The sequence below is a fragment of the Homo sapiens genome, chromosome 6 (assembly GCF_000001405.40).
Source record: "Homo sapiens chromosome 6, GRCh38.p14 Primary Assembly".
Classification (NCBI taxonomy): Eukaryota; Metazoa; Chordata; class Mammalia; order Primates; family Hominidae; genus Homo; species Homo sapiens.
Genome location: NC_000006.12, coordinates 48,006,630 through 48,028,892, shown reverse-complemented (window position 1 = coordinate 48,028,892; position 22,263 = coordinate 48,006,630). Strand labels below are relative to the sequence as shown.

Sequence of the window (22,263 nt, the reverse complement as noted above, 5' to 3'; positions counted from 1 at the left end):
ATTTTCTGGGGGCCACCTGAGAAATCTCAAAGTTAGTTTGAGGTAAAAAAGAACTTCATTTAGAATTTAATTTTTGGAAAGTTTATCAAAAATGTCAAAAGCCTTAAATATTTGATTAGGTGAGTTGTCAGATTACTATGAACAATATTTGGGTTATCTTAAATAATCAAGAACATGATAAAGGTTGACACAAAGCAAGGGAAATTATTTTGCTAAGACACAAAATCTTTGATTTATAGGAAGATTATTTAAAGGGTAAAGAAAGCCCTTTAATTTCTTATTAAGAACAGACCAAAAAAATCCAAAAATACTCGGTTACTTAGAGAAAAAAACAAATTGTAGTTTTGCACCAGTGCACTTTTGATATTGTCTTTAAAATTTTTTTCTTTCTTTAAACATAAATGAATCCATTTAAATTTTAGCTAGCTTCATCACACATAAAATTCCTTTTTCAAGATTTCTTTTCCACAGACCTTCTATGACTTTTTTATATCCACTCAATTTTTGTCCTGTATTTTTCCTCTTTATTATTCTTGAACAACCAGTCATTCTACTTTAAAGCAAAATTACTCACTTTTAACCTTAGCCAAATCAAACCTTTCATACCTCATATATTTTCTCATCAAAAAAAACAAAAGAGAAACATCCTAGGCCAATTGTGGTGACTCATGCCTGTAATCTTAGCACTTTGGGAGGCCGAGGTGGGCAGATCACTTGAGGCTAGGTGTTCGAGACCAGGCTGGCCAACAATGCGAAACCCTGTCTTTACAAAAAAATACAAAAATTAGCCAGGCATAGTAGTGTGCATCTGTAATCTCAGCTACTGGGGAGGCTGAGGCACGAGAATCACTTGAACCTAGGAGGCCGGGGTTATAGTGAGCAGAGATCGCACCACTATACCCCAGCCTGAGCAATAGAGCGAGACTGTCTCAAAACAAAACAAAAAACCAGAACAAAAAAACCACATCCTGGTTTCCTTGCCTGCTTTTTATATACGTTACTTTCCTTCACCCTTATTATTTCTGGTAGTTTTGATTACATATGTTGAGAGAAAATTAGGAAGTAGACAGTTGTGAATTGTCTTTCCCATACTAGGAGTCTATAGCAAACTAACAAATGTTATTAATATAACATTGCAGGTTTCTCATAGTCATACACTTCTTCATAGTACAATTCTTCATGTTTACCAACAGACCCAAATATATTTATCTTATCTATGCAATATGAAAACAAGATGCCAAAAGTTTATGAACTTTAATTTATATTCATTAATGAATGTTCCAGTAGTTTATGTTAGAAATGATCTAGATTTATAATAAATATCTGTTACTTAGCATAACTCTAAAGTTGCAAGTTAACAAGAGATTTTGGAAACAATTTTAAGGTAGACATATTATAACTTTACACAAAGCTACCCATCATCTCAAGCTATTTTCCTGTTACCTATTTTTAACCTTATTTGCCTAGTAAACCCAAACAGAATTAAAATTTGTTTATGTTATAGTAATACTGACAATTTAAAAGATGTAGTGTTTTCATTAAACCAATAATACTAAGTTAATCTTATTTATCAATGTTTTACCAAAGTCACATGAACTGGAAAAAAACATTTGGGTTAGTTTTTATGTTCCTGGGAGTTTAAGGAAGATTTTATTTATAATAAGCACTTATTTATCTCTTAGCCAATTTGAATAGAACTTTTTAAAGGGATTCCATTAATTAATTTGGTAGTGTTATCTGGATGTAGAAGAAAAATATTACATATACATATCATATATACATACACATGTATAAACATACATAAACATATAGACAGATGTAAACAAAAATCTTATCGCTTTCATTCAAAAATTTTAGCCATGACTCAGTAGAACACAGTAATATATAACTTACCGGTTCATATAAAATAGTTGGCTCTCATCTTTTCTCCACTTTACTTTTTTATCTGAATTGTATTTCTTACCAAAAAAAAAAATGGGACAAATTGAGGTTATGTACTCAATAAGAGCAAAAACTTTTTACGAATAATCATCAAGAAGATTTTTAATATTTTCGTCTGCCCCAATATGTAATCTTGTGGAGGCTATGGACTATCTTTTAGGCTGAGGGTACATCTAGCAGCTGTCTAGGTGTCTCCAAAGCCCATCTGAGTGGATGAAAGATCCAATCTATTTCCAATTAGATGGTTTTCTCTTTCAGTCTCAAGTGGTTGTTTTTGAGAGACCCTGAATCCCTTGAGAGCTTCCAGTGGAGCATAGGGGACCTAAAGCCCCAGTGAATGTAGGGAGCTAAGGAACCAAAGTGTGAAGGGAAAGGTCTGGCAGGAATTGGCAAAGGAATAGAGGCAGAGATGGGTTTGAAGGGGACATATAGAAGAAGGTGGTAAGAGGAAGGGTGAGGAGAGAAGTTGATGGGAAGGGAAAGGACATAGAAGAATGACTCTCAAGAGATCCTAAGTTCCCCAAAGAGACCACTGAAATTCCAAATTGTCTGCTGCAAAATCATGTTAACAAAAAGGAGATGGACAAAGCTGGCAAAACATATCGTTAGTAAGGGTTTGAGATGAAAGGCTTCAGTTGACTAAGAAGTTCCCATGAGGAAGCCAGTATCAAATATAGTGAACAAAGAAACCTCACAGCCAGCCAGGAAGAAAGACTTCTAGCCCAGGGAGTCAGGGACTAATTCCCACTCAGAACAAGAAGCCATGAACACTTTCCAGCCCAGGAGGTTTCTTTCAAAAGAAGCTTGCTACCAGAAAGAACTTCTAACACACATATCTCATCAGATAGTTTTAAAGATTTTCAATGGTCACTATGCCAAATTCCTTAGGGTGATACAGAAGACCTTTCTAATGTCTCCCTCAGGTTCATACTTATTGTCTGTTCTGGATGAGCAATAGCTGTGAGGTCATGTTCAAATTGCTGTTGGAGAGAGTGGTAGGAGTCATTGCCCTTTAAAACTAGGGAGATCTCTTTATTTTTCCAATTGAGTAGCCCTGTCCCTGAGTGCCATTCCATTCCTTCAGAACCTCTCTCAGTATTTTCTTGCAAACAGCTCCAATGAGGTCCAGGCAACTGCCAGCTCCAGTTCTGAGAAAGTGTTATTTTGGGGGTGTGTATGTTATTATTGGTATTTTTAACAATGCATTGACACAGCAATATGCATTTGAAAAGACTTATCCTAAATACCTGCTTATGTAACAAATTACAGGGCTATTGCTTCAAATAGCCCTGATCTTTCAGTCAAAGCAGACACCCACTTAGCAAGTTAATTGTTCCTCCACAAAGTACTTCCATGTAAGTGAAGAATGTTAGATTGTTTTCTTTATATAATCTCTCTAAAGAAGAGAATCTTTGCCCTTATTCATATGGGGTGACATAGTCACCTTGAATTCTCTGACTACTTGCAAAATTATAGGAAATTAATCTGTGTTGCAATAAGGGAGAATGACAGGCAATGTTTTTAAGAACAATGGACCAAATTTTTATATTTTTGTGCCTGTAGCTTTGTTTATAACAGGTGCTGTCAAAAATTAGTTTTTTCTCAAGTGTGTTAAATTGGGAGCAACGTCTCTGTGTACCTTTTATTGTATTTGCATTTCCCACTGTGTATTTTTTCTTGTCACTTTAACATTATCAGGTCATTTCAATTAAGATATCTACCATCCACGGGGAAGATGAAATACATTGAGTTTATCTTAATACTGTACCAGACACAGTGTTCTTGCCATTCTTGAGCAAACATCAGTGATGTCTGTGACATGTTACAGTGTATTATAAAGAATGTTTAATATCTATAGCAAGAATGAAATATTGCATTGAAACAGATATATTAAAATTAAAGTTTGCTGCAAATTATTTTGATGAGGTTATGTTTCTCTAGCAATCCAGTAGAGTGTTCAAATAATGGGGCAGCAAAAACAAAATGAAACCGTGTGATGTAGAATCATGTCATCTGGCTTTTGCATACTACCATTTTATGTATGAAATTTAAAGATAGGTGATAAAATAAAGCAGCTTTGAGAAGCTCCTTCATGCCTGCACCAGATGCTTTTAATTATAGAAGGATCCTTCAGTGGAGAAACTTCTGTACTGTGGAATCAGGAGGTTTGGTTCTTACTTCCATCTTGCAATCTTGCCTGCAGAGAACGCCACAAAGCTTCAGGCACTCTTTCCACTATGGAGCTTGTCCCATCCAGAAGCCCCATCTGTTTTGTGCCTGAAACAAAAGCAGATGGCAGTGCTGACACGAGGCCTGACTCTAAGTCCCAAGGGATCATAGAATGCCTACAGTGAAGGAGGGTAAATTCTGTGAGCTCAGTTGTCCCAGCAAATTTACCTTCACAATGAATTGTTTTCCAGAGTAGAGAAAGCCTATGTCTAGGTGGTCATTTGAAGTATATTAGAAGGAAAATTGAACCAACTTTTTTAGGTTTCTCCTAAAATTACCAGGCAGAGTCTGCCTTTCAAACATGTGTTGACCTAAGAGCAAGTTCTAGGTCGTGTTGAGAGTGGAACCTCCTGGACTGGAACAGACACAGTTGGAATCTTTCGTTCATTTTAGCTAAATACACCCTACTTAGAGAGTCCTGGACACTTTCTGTATTTGTAATGTAAGCTGAGGGTTGATAGAATATTGCTTGTGTCAAGAGCCATGATTTGTTTTTATTTATTTTATTTAAGTTCAGTGAATCATTCTATCATAATTTTGTAATGAGGTAATAACTGTTGATGGAGCCCTACAAAATAACAGACAGGGTGCTATCTCTCATCAAATATCATCAAACATAATTCTTATAATAAAGCTTATGAGCTAGACAGTCCCATTTTATAGCTGAAGAAAGACACTTAGAGACTCTAAGTAATTTTGCAAGGTCACAGCAGTCGTAAGTGCTCAAGTCAGCATTCAAACTCAAGTTCTCTGAATGTTAAAGCCAAACCACTACTGCAAGCCATATTGCCTGTGATGCCAAGGTGGTTTTGCCATCATTGCTATGGTAACCAGGTCATATGACCCCTAGCATGAACTATGGGTCTTTCCTCTGAAGACCTTGAAAGAGATTTCAGTCTATTTCTTAACACCTTGTAAGAACAGTTTTGGGAGCATTCTCTATGCTAAAGTTTTGACCTTTTTTAAAAAAGGTAGTTATTTGTGAAGAAAAAATATTGATTGCTAAATTATGAGAAACCGAGCTGCTGAGACTAGGCCCTATTTGGGAACATTCAGAAGAAAATTAAAACCAACCTAAAAGAAGAGTGCAATTTCCATTGGAAGTTTTGTCTCCAAACCTCATGAAATAGGAGGTAGGCGATATCAGAAGGGATACAATTAGGAGGGATATTTATATGTGATAGCAAGAAGCTGCATTCATGCTTATGTAGTGGTGGCAGTTAAGCTCTCCAGGGCTAGAATGAGCATTGTCTTGATTTAAATTGGCCTAATTTTGACTACCAGACTCACAAGTGATGACTGCTTTCATTATAAGGAGACTATCTAGCTTAATATTTTTCTCTATTGCATAAAAATCTAAGTAAATCAATTGTCAAAACCTTTTGGGGTTATCCGGTCATATTTTCTTTGCTCATTGTAACTTACTACCACTGGACTTATTAAGGTTACCATATTTTCAAAACAAAAATGGGGATATATGATAAATAAATGTTTTTAACTTGCAAACATTATTAATTTAAAAATCTCACAAAAGTATAAAACTAAAAACACACGTAAAGAAGTCATCCATGAATTGATCTCATTCAACAAATGAAATGGCACGAAATTTTACCTTCCTTATTAAAGCTAGTCCAAACATATTTAACATAGTTTAATGTGCTGCTGACTTATTTCCTTGCTTACAACATATTTAGCTTGATTGGGTCACTACTCTCCTACATCAGGCAAGTATTTGTAAGTGGAATGCAAGCTAACTTTAATATTAGCCTTAAACAAGACAACCAGAAAGGCAATGCTTTTTTTTTCCTTTCAAGAAATTAAAAACAAAGAATTATTTTCTAAGTATATAATGATTTTTGGTTAATCTTTTGTAATAAGTTAAATTATCAGGTGAAACACATACACTTTGCTTTTGAGTTAATTTTTCATTCAGGTACCTTACAAATTTAAAAACAAAATTTAATTTACCTTCCAAAGGCATTGAGGTGCTCCTTTCCTAGATATCCAAGAGTATGGAATTTAATACAAAGACTAGGCTATGCACTTGACTAAAATACATCACATCAGCCCAGAAAATGTTAACACTCTTGCAAAGGTAAGCTGTTGCACCCTCGTCTCCTATTCTGAGAAAAGTAATATTTAACTTCCACATGGAGTGGAAGATAAGAGCATACTTACTTTCTTGGCTTTATTAAAAGACTTTCAATTATTTTAATATCTTTGAAGCTGAATATCTTGGTTATAGTAAGGAACAATTGTACAGACCTCATTAGAATGTATATCACACACTGTATTTTCAAAGCATGTCTGTCCTTTTGGGGATTAAAAATAAAAGGTAATTTAGCAAAGATAAAATGGACTTAAGCAAGTGTTGTATTCTTTATCTAGTATTTTACTGACATAATTCAATAATTATCCCTCACTGTGGCTTTGAGGTAGTTATCTTTCAAATAAAGGAAGGAGAGAGATGAGAGAGGAAAGAGGAGGAAAACAGGGAGAAAGGGTTAGAGAGAGAAATAAAGGGAGGGAGAGGGGAAAGAAGAGGAGAGGGAGAAAGGAGATAGAACAAGGAAGAGGGAGGGAATATTTTTCACATAGTAGGACAATGAGATATTAAAATCTCAATCATATTCAGTAAAGATACAAGGGTGTCACTTTTGTTTTATCAAAAGATTAAGACACAACTAACTTCACTCCCAAATGTAAATAAAGGCTACGTTATTGATTTCACATTCTTTCTTATGTGCATTCCTGTACATTTCCTTGAGATATGTACTCCATATTTGTTTCATTTGGCTTCAGAAAGGTACCACCTTCATCCCCTATCTTCAGTGAACTTAGAAGTCTAGTTGGAGAGATAAAAAAGATACACAGAGAACAACAGTAAAAGACAATATGCATTAGTAATCCGAAGACGTTTCTTTGAGAATAAAAATTTGATATAACCTTAGACAGCAAAGCAAAATAGAAATTAGAAAAGTGGACTTCATAAATGACAGTACTGTTTCCAAACTACATAAATCAATGGCATATTTCCTAGAAGTTGTATTCAACTTCATATTCCAGACTTCAGCAATTACAACTATCTGTATAATCCAAGAAAAAAAAAATAAGCTAGCTTTCACTTAGCATGATAGTTTATGCATAGCAAATACTCAAAAAATAATTATTGTTTGGTTGGTCAAATGATTTGGCCTTGTTTATGAAATTAAAGAAAACAAATGTATGAGATGGAAAGGTACAAAGGCAAAGATTAAAAAGAACCTTATGTGGGCCAATTCAGAAGTCAAGTTCAATACCAGGAGAGTGATATTGAGCCAACAAGGTCCCCATGATCTTTTCTTTGAAAAGAAAACACCATTTAGCCAAGTGCAAGGCCAGATCAGCTCAGGAGTTAAGTGTGTGTTAGCACTTTTCCCTACCATTAGCAGCCAGAAATCTGTTGCTATTCACTTTTAGAGGTAAAATACTATCTTTTATTATGTCTCAGTGGGCAAAACCACAGTCTTTCATGAAGCAGAAAAACTTGTTTCTACTGTAGTATGTATAATATACTATCTATACTAAAGAAAATATAGATTTTATACTATTTTTAAAAATAGGATTTTTTAAAAGACAGTATAAAATAACCTAACCAAGAAATCGGAAATGACCTATAATCCTATATTAAAAACAACTCAAGTTTAGTTAGACAGATTGCTTAGAACTTGAGCCTGGGCACAAGGGAATCCTGATTCTTGATCCTTCTTCCTCTCCCATTGCCTAAGTGAAATTTGTTATTTTTGTTGGTGAGTCAATCAAATTTTGTAATGATAATATAAAATAACCTAACAAAGAAATCAGAACTGACCCATAATCCTATACCAGAAACAAGCCAATGTATTTCCCTTGAATATTTATATATATATACATTTATTGTTACATAGTAGTGGAGATCATGCTGTAATGTGTATAGTTTTGCAGCCCCAGCACGTATCTTCACTCTTCAGTAACGTCTTCTGTATTGTAAGTCTCCATGCTGCTTTATTCTCTTAGCATTTTATTTATGTGCTTTGTCTCTAAACAAAAATATAAACTCTTCAAAGAAAAGACTTTATCCTCCCTTTATTTGTCTTTATCTTGGTTTCGACATGCAGGATAGCAATGCACTTTCCCAGATATTCACTACATGTATTATTAGTTTGGTGCAAAAGTAATTACGGTTTTTGCCAACGAAAGTAGCAAAAACCGCAATTACTTTTGCAGCAACCTAATATTTGTTTTAATTGATTGAATTTATGAGAATCATTAGAATGAGTAGATCACTTTTAACAACTTTCATAATTTTAGAAAGTAAATTTTTTCCAAGAATCCCTCAACACTCCAGAAGTGGTGGTTCTTTGGAAAAAGCCCAGGTATGGGAAAAATTTATTTTCAGAATAGTGTGCATTCCATAAGATCTGAAAAACCTCTTTTTTAATGTTCCCATAATCAGTTAGGTAAGTCTTGCCTTAGACAAAGCTGTAAGGAAGGAAAAAAAATCATGCCATGCCCTATCTCTAGTGCTCATAGCCATCCCCAAGGCATACCTGGAGTTCATTTTTCACATTGCAGCGAAAGAGAGCTTTGGAATAAGCAAATTTCACAATTTTCACTGCCAGTGTCCATCTCTGAGAAATCACTCTTCTCTTACCCTCCTTCATTATATATTCCAGTAATTCTCCAAGTCTCAGGAATACAACATGCTTACTTACACAAAGGGCAGATCTACACCTTTGTGTATGCTGTTTCCTCTGCTTAGAAGACCATTTCTTTCCATGTCCACCAACCAAATCTTCCAGCTTTATTTGGATAATTGATATTTATGATTCAGGACTCAGCTAAGGTAACATCTTCTTTAGAAAGCCTCCTTAGTACCCACTAAGTTAGGCGATTCCTTCTCAGTGCTCTCTTGACATCTTGTGTTAATCACTGCCACAGTACATATATTATTATTTTTTTTTTTTTTGAGACGGAGTCTCGCTCTGCCACCCAGGCTGGAGTGCAGTGGTGCCATCTCAGCTCAGTGCAAGCTCCGCCTGCCGGGTTAACGCCATTCTCCTGCCTCAGCCTCCCGAGTAGCTGGAATTACAGGAGCCCCCCACCACGCCCAGCTAATTTTTTGTATTTTTAGTAGAGAAAGGGTTTCACCATGTTAGCCAGGATGATCTCAATCTCCTGACTTCATAATCCGCCCTCCTTGACCTCCCAAAATGCTGGGATTACAGGCGTGAGCCACAGCGCCCGGCCAGTACTTATATTTTTTTAAAATGCCTGCCTACTTACTTATCTTTCCCTGACCCCACACCATAGGCCCTTTGAAGACAGGCACTGTAGCTGTCTACCACTCTATCCTCACCCCACACCATAGGCCCTTTGAAGATAGGCACTGTAGCTGTCTACCACTCTATCCTCGATAGCGGTATAGCACAGAGCATGTGCTCACTGAATCTTTCTTGGATGAATAAACAGTTGCCTCTTTCCTTGCCTCTTTCCACCTGTGCTGTGTGTCACATCCTTGGGTACCCCCACATATTCACCACACTGGCACCCCATGAAGGTACCTAGAATGCCGAAGGTTCTCATCTTCCGTAACTTTCTTGTTTCCATGAGGATGTTTTGAGCTCTACTCTGAGTTTTGCCTCCCCAATTTGTCAGTGTGATCTACTTTTCCAGTCAAAGGTGTTAATGTTCCAGATGTCATAGTCCTATAGCCTCTGGTTGTAAACTAGAGCCTTTTTAGAAGAGAATTTCTTAGTCCAAAAGAAAGGCAATAATGGCAGGACTTTTAATCTTTCTACTGAAGGGGGACATTATACATAGGGATTTGCTGCTTTCCTCAAATGCTCCTGCGTTAGTGGTGGCCAACTTCTCTTATGTAGGTCAACATCAGAGCTAAGTGTTGTTTGATATCGGAATGCCTGCTTTTAAGAACCACTGTGATCTCTTTGTGAAAGACTCATTCATGTAAGAATAGTAATATTGCTTTTTATGGAAATACTAGTATTTGATAAGCAAATGGTAGAGAGAATACTGGTAGACATCTGGGGATAAAATGAATTTTACTATCTAAGAAATAATTTAATTCATCTGGGCTACAGAGGTGATTTATATCTAGGTAAATTAGGGCAAATTCCTTATCCTTCTCCATTTGAGAAGAACTCTCTCCAGAGATTACTCAAAGAAAGGGCAGACACATGACTTGGTCTAGCCTCAGAAGAAGATAAAATGCTTCTTGTTTCTATGGAAATGAACACTGGTCATTTTGTGTTTTCCCTTCCTTTTTATTTCTTTTATTTTTTTCTCTTGGGGCAGATTTCTGCAGCATACTATGTAGTGTCTAATGACTTTACCACCAATGAATCATTAACTATAGGGAAGGTAAGACCTTTAGCGATAATGTAAGCGACACTTTTTATTTTGGAGATGAGGGTGCTGGCATTCAGAAAAGCTGAACAGCATGTCTTCTGTCACCCGGCGGTATAGTAGCAGAAATGGAACTTGAAACCAGGAGTCTTGGCCCTGTGCCCTATGTTCTTTCCACCATATTACAAACATTTGCTGGGAAATATGGAATAATCTTAGATGGATAAGTGAATAAACAGTATCATTCAAGCATTTTATTTATAACGTATGTTAATAGAAATAATAGCCAATTATTTCTGAGCACTATTCTAAATACTTATCATATATCCACACATTCAATCTTCTCAATGCCTATATAATTCTCATTTTAACCAATAATAAAACTGACACACAGGGAGCTTAAGACCCTTGCACATCTTGTCAGTGTTGAGTTTGGGACTCTAAGCAAGGCAGTGGATTCTTGGCTCTGTGTACATAACCATTACGTTATAGTACCTATCATTAATATATACATATAAAAATTATTCAAATATATGGGCAGTTGTGTTAAGAATGTGGAGTCAGACACACGAATCAAGTGATTGGCTGTGCCACTTAGTAGCAGTATAACATTTCTTTCACTGTATCCTCTCTCTTGGTCCCAATGTCCTTATTGTTGACTTGAGGCTACTCCAGTATAGCACTTCTTCATAGAGCAATTGGAAGAGTTGCCTAAGATAATGAGAATAGAATTCTTATGTCTTAGAACTGATTCTACCACATGTGTTAAAAATTTCCAACCAAGTCCCAGTTAATTGATATGTTGGAGTTCTCTTTTAAACTTATTTTATATTCTGGATGGCTAGAGTTTTTATTTTATTTCAGCAATACAGAAATCTTGTTTTTTTAATCTTCTTCTTTGAAAAACATGTGAACTACATCACGGCCTTTTTCTAGCTTACTAATGTGACAAAATAAATTGAATTTATTACTTATTTAGGGCATGTTAATGCTTTAAAGTCTTCATTTTGAGAATGACTTTTGATTCTTCTTTTAAAAAATAAATACCTTGTACAAACTAGGTATTTCTCATTATTTTCTCATTTCTACTAAATATGAAGTTCTGGTGTGGAAAATAAAGATAACCAATATTTTCATTTAATCCTAGTTTATGTATATACTTGACCCTGGTAATAAAACAAAGATATATAAGTTAGAAAATAAATATGAGGAAAAATCTGATTAAAAAAAGAAACAATATTCCTTTGGAAATGTCACCATCTACTAAACACAGGAAGACTTTCTTTTCAGTGATAAAAAACAACTAACCATCTAAAACTTTCCAATATCTTTGCAGTGTCTGCCTCATGGAAAATCAATGAAATCTGAATTGCAATTGTCTTGGACAAAAGCTGTGCTGTCATATTATCTTGCAGTCACAGAAAGTGTCTGAATGCCAACCTAGTACATAGGAGGAACAAATACTGTACTTGCTCTCCTATAGTTTCAAACCATCATCAAGTAATTTTTTTCTCTGCACTATTGTCTGTGACATTAATGTCTCCATCCTCTCTTATCACTTTAATTTTTTTTAATCTTCTCTCTGAGAGTTTAGTTTTCTACTCTAGAGCTATTGAAAGCTCTGCATTGAGTGGGAGTAATTTTTAAAGCTACAGAACAGTAACCTGAAACTAAATAAGAGCTTTCGAACCCAAGATTTTTTTTTTCTCTTCAGCATTACTGCTGCTGGAGAGATAATGTGATGAGATGATTTATGGCCGTGAGATAGCATCATGACCTGTAATTCCAATGATTCACCTTGGAACAATTTACCTACTAGAAACTGCCTCAGCTGACATTTTCTTATGCTGCATCAAGAACCTGAAATACTACAGGGACTTCCTAACTGAGCTCTTTCCTTTAGAATCACCTTTACTTCCTAAATCATTTTCCACAGTGCAATGAGAGTGAGAACTTTTGAAAGTAAATCATGTCATTCGCTTGCTTAAAACTCATCAATGGATTTGTATTGAAGGATAATTAAGTCCAACTCCTTAATAAGGCTTTCATGGCCTTTACTGAAGAGGCCCTGCTGCCTTCTGTAGCCTCAAATCCTATTACTCCCTTCAGGTCCCTGAGCATCTTACGCTGGCTTTTGCCTGCGGGCCATGATACATGCAAATTCTTTTTTCTGGCACTCCCTAAGTCCCCCTGTCTGTTGACTAGCTTCCTGCACATGCTTGGTGTGCAGCAAAAATGAAAAAGAAACATATTTGGGGGAAATATTATACTAGAATAAGCAGACTGAGAAAGAGATGTTGTTGTTTCTTTTCTGTATCAGCCTCAAATTTCTACATATGCCTCTTTTCATTTGAGTTCCTACTGTTCTCAGGCACCTTGATCTGTCTCCTACTTGTCCTGGTCTTAGCAAACTAGTCTCTAAAAAGTAACCTATAATTAGTTATATATATCTTAAGGTGAATTTACTCAGCTAATAAATATTATGGAATGTTTATTACACATCAGGCTTTTTCTAGGCACAAGGAAATTATCAGTGAACAAAACAGGAAAGATGTCAGCTTTCAACAAGCACACACTCTAGCAGAGGACACAAAAAGGAGCAATTAAATGATAAAATAAGATCATTTCAAATAGAAATCATTTGTAGGAAGAAGATAAAAGGTCTATGCAATAGAATGATTGCAAGGAAGGCTGGTTTAGGTCTTGTGGGTCAAATATTTCTTTGAAGCTAAGTCCTCGGTGACCAGGAAGTAGTCTTGGCAGAAGAAAGCATTTCAGGCAGAGGGAACAGCTGATGCAATGATCATAAGGTGGAAATTAACTTGGTTTCTTCAAGGAATAGGAAGAAAGGTTAAAAAAAATAGTTGGAGCAGAGTTCATGAGAAGGGTGATAGGAGACAGGTCTGAGGACTCCTCTAGAAATGGGCTAAGCAGGGCCTTTGAAGCCTGGCAAGAGGCATCTGTTGTATTCCTATTGCAAGTGGAAACCAGGGGAGGGTTTTAGGTGTAGGGATGATGTTGTCTCATTTAAATTGTACAAATAGACTCTGGCTTCCATGTGGAGAATAGATTGAAGAACAACAGTGTACACAGGGATATGAGCTAGGAACCAAAGTCATCTACTCTTAATGATGTCAGTTCAGTTCAATGAAGCACTCACATAGGAGAGCATTGAAAACAGCATGTTAGCATCTTGTCATATTCTTACTTTAAGACTTGTCTTTATTGGGACATAAAGGTGATTTACACTTAAAGGAATTTCAGAACTTTTGTAGGAGGTTTTTGGGGAAAAGAAGAAGTTGAATCAGTATACGAGTATGAGTCATTGCTAGGCAGTTGCCTTAGTGGAGAGGACGACATTGGAAAAGGGGGTCTGCAAGTGAAATAACTTTTAATCATAAAGAACATTTCATGGGAGCCAAACTGGCTGCCCTGAAATCGCTCCCCTAGGACTCTAGAAAGGACTGGACTTGGACTCAGAAGATCTGAGTTTCAACCTTGGAATCATCCCTTTAGTAGGTTTAACTTCTCTGAGCTTCTAGGTTTGCTCATCTATTAAACAAAAGAGCTTCATCATGTGATAAGTAAGATCTTTATCAATTATACAAATAATCCATTAATGACTCTATTAGTTATAATGATATCCTTTCTGACATCCAGGCATCTCCAGTGAAACTTTATGCATTGTATTTTCATAGAAAAATAGAGCTGAAAATTACTTAATTATTATGTAAACATTTGTTTATATACTCATAGTTGCTCATTTTATAGATAAGAAAACCAAATAAACTAGCCATGAACTAATGAATTAGCCATGAACTAAGGAACTTTTACCATTAATGTGAGCTGCACACTGCAACTCAGCTCACATGATTCCTGATTAAGTGTTCTTTCATTATTACTTGTAGTCATAACTTCAAGGAAGTTCTGTCCACAGGATAATTACAATATTTCTTATATTAATTCTTTGTCTTTCCTACATAGAAGCATCTGTGAGCTGGTGAGTTTGGAAGCGAATAAACTCTTCTATAATCCCTTACAAAATAGTATAATTTTCCCATACAAATAATGTACAAAAGTGTATTTCTCAGAACTATAATTAGTTGGATTTTTGGGCCAACTGCAGGTACAAAATGTGGACCTTTTAATGGAGCTTTCAATTCCAGAACATCCAAAAACCTTATTTATTTTGTTCTGATGCATAGAGAAAAATATGAGTAAGAAATTCTTTCTATTTGTTATATTAATTTTAAAATAATGGGAAAAGAGGGATAGAAGTGTACCTTTTATAAACTTTTTTTTTGTAAAAATGGGAATTAGACAACTTCAACAGAGGAGTTAGCAGCTAGCCAAACTCAATGAAGATCTGTTGTTTAAAAACCGACACTAGCCTTCTTTAAAATTTTGTCTTTTGTCCAGATACATTATCAGCACCCTCTTTTATTCACTGTAATCTCCAAATGAGCCCCAAGAGATGAATAAATCATTTTGTTGCTGCTAAAGATCTCTTGAGAAATCTTTTTGATGACATAAATAAGTAAAGACAGATAGCTGCACATTTTAAGTAAATAGATAATGCTTTTTAAAAACTTTCTCTTTCAAATAATCAGAAGTAGAATTCCACATCAAAGTGGGATTTCAAAGGTGTAGAAACAAGGGTGGAGCTAAAAATTATACCAAGCTTAAAACAAAAATAAATGCGCCTAATTGGGGATCAATTAGTGTCAACTTAAAGAGCAGAAATTTTCCACAATTTCTCAGTTCTGGGATGAGATCCCCGCCTCCTTTCTCAAAGCATGCCCACCTTTCTACTTGCAGCTCATGGTAATATCCCATGAGATTTAATCAAGAGAGAGCCTTGGGAACCACAGCCAAAATTTCCATTTGATTCCAAAAGGAAAAAGATGGGAAAATTATAAAGATTACATGGAAGTGGGAGACATTCTGAGAAAAAAAAAAAAAACTCAACTGAAATTCTTATTGGATTGTTCCTTTAGAGTTAGTAACATTGAGATAAATAGAATGATTGTATTCATTTAGTATGTAGGGAGAAAGTGGAGTGACTATGAAATTCCTTTCTTGTTCTGAAATTGAGGCAGTAATTAAGAGCCTACCAACAACAACAAAAAAGCCCAGGACCAGACTGATTCACAGCCGAATTCTACCAGAGTTACAAAGAGGAGCTGGTACCATTCCTTCTGAAACTACTCCAAACAATAGAAAAAGAGGGACTCCTCCCTAATTCATTTTATGAGGCCAGCATCATCCTGATACCAAAACCTGGCAGAGACCCAGCCAAAAAAGGGAAATTTCAGGCCAATATCCCTGATGAACATCAATGCTAAAATCCTCAATAAAATACTGCCAAACCGAGTCCAGCAGCACATCAAAAAGCTTATCTACCACAATCAAGTCAGCTTCATCCCTGGGATGCAAGGCTAGTTCAACATATGCAAATCAATAAATGTAATCCATCACTTAAACAGAACCAATGACAAAAACCACATGATTATCTCAATAGATGCAGAAAAGGTCTTCAATAAAATTAAACACCCCTTCATGCTAAAAACTTTTGAAAACTAGGTACTGATGGAACGTATCTCAAAACAATAAGAGCTATTTATGACAGATCCATAGCCAATATCATACTGAATGGGCAAAAGCTGGAAGCATTCCCTTTGAAAACTGGCACAAAATAAGGATGCCCTCTTTCACCACTCCTATTCAACATAGTATTGGAAGTTCTGGCCAGGGCAATCAGGAAAGAGAAAGAAATAAAGCGTATTCAAATAGGAAGAGAGGAAGTCAAATCGTTTCTGTTTGCAGATGGCATTATTGTACATTTAGAAAATCCCACTGTCTCAGTCCCAAATCTCCTTAAGCTGATAAGCAACTTCAGCATAGTCTCAGGATACAAAATCAATGTGCAAAAAATCACAAGCATTCCTATACACCAATAATAGACAAACAGAGAGCCAAATCATGAGTGAACTCCCATTCACAATGGCTACAAAAAAGAATAAAATACCTAGGAATACAACTTACAATGCATGTAAAGGACCTCTTCAAGGAGAACTACAAACCACCACTCGAGGAAATAAGAGAGGACACAAACAAATAGAAAAACATTCCATGCTCATGGATAGGAAGAATCAATATTGTGAAAATGGCCAAACTGCCCAAAGTAATTTATAGATTCAATGCTATTCCCGTCAAGCTACCACTGACTTTCCTCACAGAGTTGGAGAAAACTACTTTAAAGTTCATATGGAACCAAAAATAGCCCATATAGCCAAGACAATCCTAAGCAAAAAGAGCAAAGCTAGAGACATCACGCTACCTGACTTCAAATTATACTACAGGCTACAGTAACCAAAACACCATGATACTGGTACCAAAACAGATATATAGACCAATAGAACAGAACAGAGGCCTCAGAAATAATGGCGCACATCTACAACCATCTAATCTTTGACAAACCTGACAAAAACAAGCAATGGAGAAAAGATTCCCTATTTAATAAATGATGCTGGGAAAACTGGCTAGCCATATGCAGAAAACTGAAACTGGACCCTTTCCTTACACCTTATACAAAAATTAACTCAAGATGGATTAAAGACTTAAATGTAAGACATAAAAACATAAAAACCCTAGAAGAAAACCTAGGCAATACCATTCAGGACATAGGCATGGGCAAAGACCTCATGACTAAAACACCAAAAGCAATGGCAACAAAAGCCAAAATTGACAAATGGGATCTAATTAAACTAAAGGGCTTCTGCACAGCAAAAGAAACTATCATCAAAGTGAACAGGCAACCCACAGAATGGGAGAAAATTTTTGCAATCTATCCATCTGACAAAGAACTAATATCCAGAATCTATAAGGAACTTAACCAAATTTACAAGAAAAAAAAACATCAAAAGGTGGGCAAAGGATATGAGCAGACACTTCTCAAAAGAAGACATTTAATGAGGCCAATAAACATATGAAGAAAACCTCATCATCACTGCTCATTAGAGAAATGCAAATCCAAACCACAATGAGATACCATCTCATGCCAGTTAGAGTGGTAATCATTAAAAAGTCAGGAAACAACAGATGCTGGAGAGGATGTGGAGAAATAGGAACGCTTTTACACTGTTGGTGGGAGTGTAAATTAGTTCAACCATTGTGGAAGACAGTGTGGCGATTCTGCAAGGATCTAGAACCAGAAATACCACTTGACCAAGCAATCCCATTGCTGGGCATATAACCAAAGGATTATAAATCATTCTGCTGTAAAGACACATGCACACGTACGTTTATTGCAGGACTGTTCACAGTAGCAAAGATTTGGAACCAACCTAAATGCCTATCCATAATAGGTTGGATAAAGAAAATGTGGCACATATACACCCTGGAATACTATGCAGCCATAAAAATGGATGAGTTCATGTCCTTTGGATGAAGCTGGAAACCACCATTCTCAGCAAACTAACACAGGAACAGAAAACCAAACACTCACTCAAAAGTGGGAGTTGAACAACAAGAACACATGGACACAGGGAGGGGAACATCACACACCAGGGCCTATCGGTGGGTGGTGGGCTAGGAGATGGATAGCATTAGGAGAAATACCTAATGTAGTTGATGGGTTTATGGGTGCAGCAAGCCACATGGCACATGTATAACTATGTAACAAACCTGCACGTTCTGCACATGTACCCCAGAACTTAAAAGAATAATTAAAGAAAAAAAAAAGAAATTCCTCACTTGGAATTCCTGGTGATCCTACTAACAGCATTTTTACTCTCTGTAAATATTGTAAACTTTTTGTGTTTGCAACACACTCTCAAGTATTAGGGTTGCTTTGTCACATGTTAAAAATGTAAATACAAACAAGTGCCTTAGATATAAGTGTCTGAGCTAAACAAGTCCACAAGAATTAAGACATGTGTCTGCTAGAGTACATAATACCTCCCAGTTCTGCGAAAAACAAGAGTTATCACACTATTGAGTTTGTTGTCTTCTGCCCTACCCACTCTAGGAAGAACTGTTTCTTCTCCTGATTTTACCCCTTTATATCCTTGTTAGATAAACATCTTGGCAGGTTCAGTTGACACACAGTCTACTGTGACATAAACATACCTTAGTGCCTGTCTCTCACCTGGTACTTGAGCATACTTTCAACACTATACTTCATCATGCAACCTGCTACTAGCTTCAGTATTCTGAGAACCATTGCCATTGAAATAAATGATAGTTGTGGCAATAATAAACTTTCCAAATTAATGATAATTTGTTGACAGCTCTTCGAGATTTCTTTCTTCATGTTGGGGCACACTGGATGAGAAATACCGTTCTCAACCTGTTTTAGTAACTCTTCGGCCACATACATGTGCCTTAAAGAGCAGTGATTGCTTCTCTTACCAATTTCCTACTCTCATGATCTTGCCTACTCTACCTCATGTCAAACTCTGAAAATGAATTGACTTTTGGCAATTCAATCTGAAATTCTTATCAGTCTAATTTAGGGGATTTGTCTACTGTCATCAATAAGAAAAGGTCAACCTATGTCTGAGGCAGGTGTTTGGAGAGAGCATTGTAATGTATGAATAGGTGTTCACATCATATTTAGGAAATATTTCAATGCCATTAAATTAGTTGTAAGAAACAATATTTTTTGTACTGCTCTTCGGTATGCAATTATATTCCCAAAATATAGAGAATATATAAGAATATTCATGTTTGTGTGTACTTGTATCAGTGTTGGCATAGGTATATGAATGAACCCTAGAAAGATTAGTGTACATTTATAGAACAGATAATTATCTTAACTTTTGAAATATTATTAATTCATGGCAAGCTTTACTTTTGGCTGAAACTGAATCATAAAACTTGATCTTGTATTAAGGATTTGTAATGGATTGTTACAAAAGGAAATGTTGGGAATCGGGATATGAGTGAGAACAAAATATTTATCTACGTTTCTCTATGCATGTGGCAATTCTTCTGTAGCTTTGTAATACTTTTTGCATATTTTCTGCCCTTGATCATCATACATGGTATCCCATGTAGCTCCAAATGTTGAATATAAAATTCTAACTTGCCTCTCCACCCACATCAGTTTCACAATTACTAGCACCTATCTCTGCCTTCCTTGTGCTCCTTCACTTAGAGTAAGAATCTATTCCCTGGAATATACATCCGTAACTGAAGTCTCTTCTTTTTCTGTTTTCAAGGATGGGAGGAACAGTTTTATTGGACACCAACTGGGCGGGGTAGTGGAAGTGCCAAACAGCAAAGATCAGCGGGTCAAGTCAGCCAGAGCCATTCAAATCACCTACTACCTCCAGACCTATGGCTCTGCCACCCAAGACCTCATAGGGGAGAAGTGGGAGAATGAGTTCTGTAAGCTTATAAGGAAGCTCCAGGAGGAGCATCAAGAACTCCAGCTCTACTCTTTAGCATCCTTTAGCCTCTGGAGGGACTTTCATAAGACCAGCATCCTGGCCAGAAGCAAGGTCCTGGTGAGCCTCGTGCTGATCCTGACCACAGCCACCCTCTCCAGCTCCATGAAGGACTGCTTGCGCAGTAAGCCCTTCCTGGGCCTCCTGGGGGTGCTCACAGTATGCATCTCCATCATCACAGCAGCAGGGATCTTCTTCATCACCGATGGAAAGTACAACTCCACCCTGCTGGGAATCCCGTTCTTCGCCATGGGTAACTATCCATCCTTGTGGTAATCGGATTCTTACCGGTTTGGGGCAAGGTAGTATATTTCTTGAATTCTCAGGTGGAAATCTGTTTTAATTTTGCATTGGGGTGTCTATGTCATTACATAAAATTTTACTTGGGGTTGTGTCTGTTTCACCTTATTGGGCCTTTCAGGAAATTATGGGATAAGCAAAACCATCTACTCATTTAATTTAATGCTGTCAAATGTTTTTAAGTTATACAACATTGGAATTCTCTACTCAGATCCCTCAAAAATAACAGATCAGGGATTATGAGAGACCGAGTTAAGGAGATCCAAAATCTACTTCGAGCAAAATTTTGTGGTCCATATTCATGGCCATTCTCAAGTTGATGGGAGTGAAGAGTGAATATCATGGGATGAAAATTCTGAGGACCAATGATGTGTCCTAATCTCAAAGAACTTCTTAAGTAAGCTTTGTTTATTAATTTATTTCAATGTTTCTGCACAGAGTATACTCCATTCCCCTACCTCTGTATAAACTAAAACCTTCCTGCTGCCACTTAGAAATATCCTCTAATTTTTTTCATCTTTGGTGAAAAGAATTAATGAATAGCCTTAGTCAAGATTATCTCATCTTGTAAGTTTTCCTCCAGCTATACATAAATGGTCTAGAAAATACTATGTAGGTGGTGCGTGTGTGTGTGTGTGTGTGTGTGTGTGCGCGCGCGCACATATTCTTTCAAAGAGAAGATCAAATCTGGGAATAAAGGCACGTAAGTGCTTAGCAACAAGACTGATGTGTCTTATCAGAAAAGAGATGATGATAGTGATAGCTGTTGGTTCAGCAAGAGGGTTCTACACATCAGGTGTGATGTAATTCCCTATGTGTAGTGATTTAGAGAATGAGCTGCAAATAGCTTATTGGTGGTGAACTGACATGAGCAAGACAGTCTTCATATTAGACATCTTAGGGCTTGCTAGGGGTTTTGCTAAAACTGCTGGTGAACTAATTAGGTAATGGAAAGATCTATGAGGAAAACAGACAATTATATATTCCATACAAATAAAGAGAAGCGCTACCTCTCCTGATGCTGGATTGTAATATATGTCCTATGAAGCCAGAGAAGTGTTTTCATTCCTTAAACAAAATAATTGTTTCTCACCCTCCAGGTTAAAATCAGCTCTGAATTACAGCTTTATTGGCAAATTTAAAAAGATGCAGGCGTGTGGTCAGAAAGTCTTCTAGGTGACATAGGCCCTTTCTTTTTCAACCTTAGCAAATGTTTTTGAGAATGAAAATATGAAGTGTGTTTATATGATAGATGATGGGATCTAACTTATTTATCTATTAACTCAATATCATTGTGGCCATGTTAAGTTGTTAGTTCATCTTCTTTTTTCTTTTCTTTTTTTTGGGGGGACAGAGTCTCGCTCTGTCTTCCAGGCTGGAGTGCAGTGTCACGATCTCAACTCACTGCAACCTCTCTTGCTCAGGTTCAAATGATCCTCTTGCCTCAGCCTCCTGAGTAGCTGGGATTACAGGTGCTGGCTACCACTCCTGGCTAATTTTTTGTATTTTTAGTAGAGACGAGGTTTCACCGTGTTGGCCAGGCTGATCTCAAACTCCTGATTTCAGGTGATCCACCCACTTCAGCCTCCCAAAGTGCTGGGATTACAGGCGTAAGCCACCACGCCCAGCTAGTTCACCTTCTTAAACCTCAGTTTTTTCTCATATAAAATGGGGAATATAATGATGTCAGTTTCAAAAACTAGGTTTGAAAAATGTAACAGTATATAATTAAAGCTCATAGCCTATAGTAAATGCTAAGTAAATATCAGCAAGTTTTACTATTTAACCTGATGTTTTAAGTGCAATGGATTCACTAATGAATAGAAAACAGCCCTTGGCTTTAGGAAATTGAGCCTTCCTGGATTTTGCATATCATCTCTAAATACATATTAATATTGTTAGTAAATAGTATCTTTCTTTTTCCCAAAGAACTTATTCTATAAAAAAATTCTTGTCA

The 22,263-nt window shown here is 36.5% G+C and overlaps 1 protein-coding gene across 9 annotated transcripts in view; it reads left to right on the top strand.

The window, feature by feature from the left end:
* The window catches only part of PTCHD4 (patched domain containing 4), a 254,525-nt gene that overhangs the window by 82,305 nt on the left and 149,957 nt on the right, over positions 1 to 22,263 (top strand). For 8 of the 9 annotated variants that reach the window (XM_011514639.3, NM_001384253.1, XM_047418830.1 and 5 more), the window contains one exon: positions 19,779 to 20,259. In XM_011514639.3, coding sequence (XP_011512941.1) covers positions 20,112 to 20,259 — 148 coding nt within the window. In that variant the 5' untranslated portion in view covers positions 19,779 to 20,111. Of the gene's footprint in view, positions 1 to 19,778; positions 20,309 to 22,263 lie in introns of those variants that run through there. The other variant, XM_017010895.2, reaches the window with a different exon arrangement.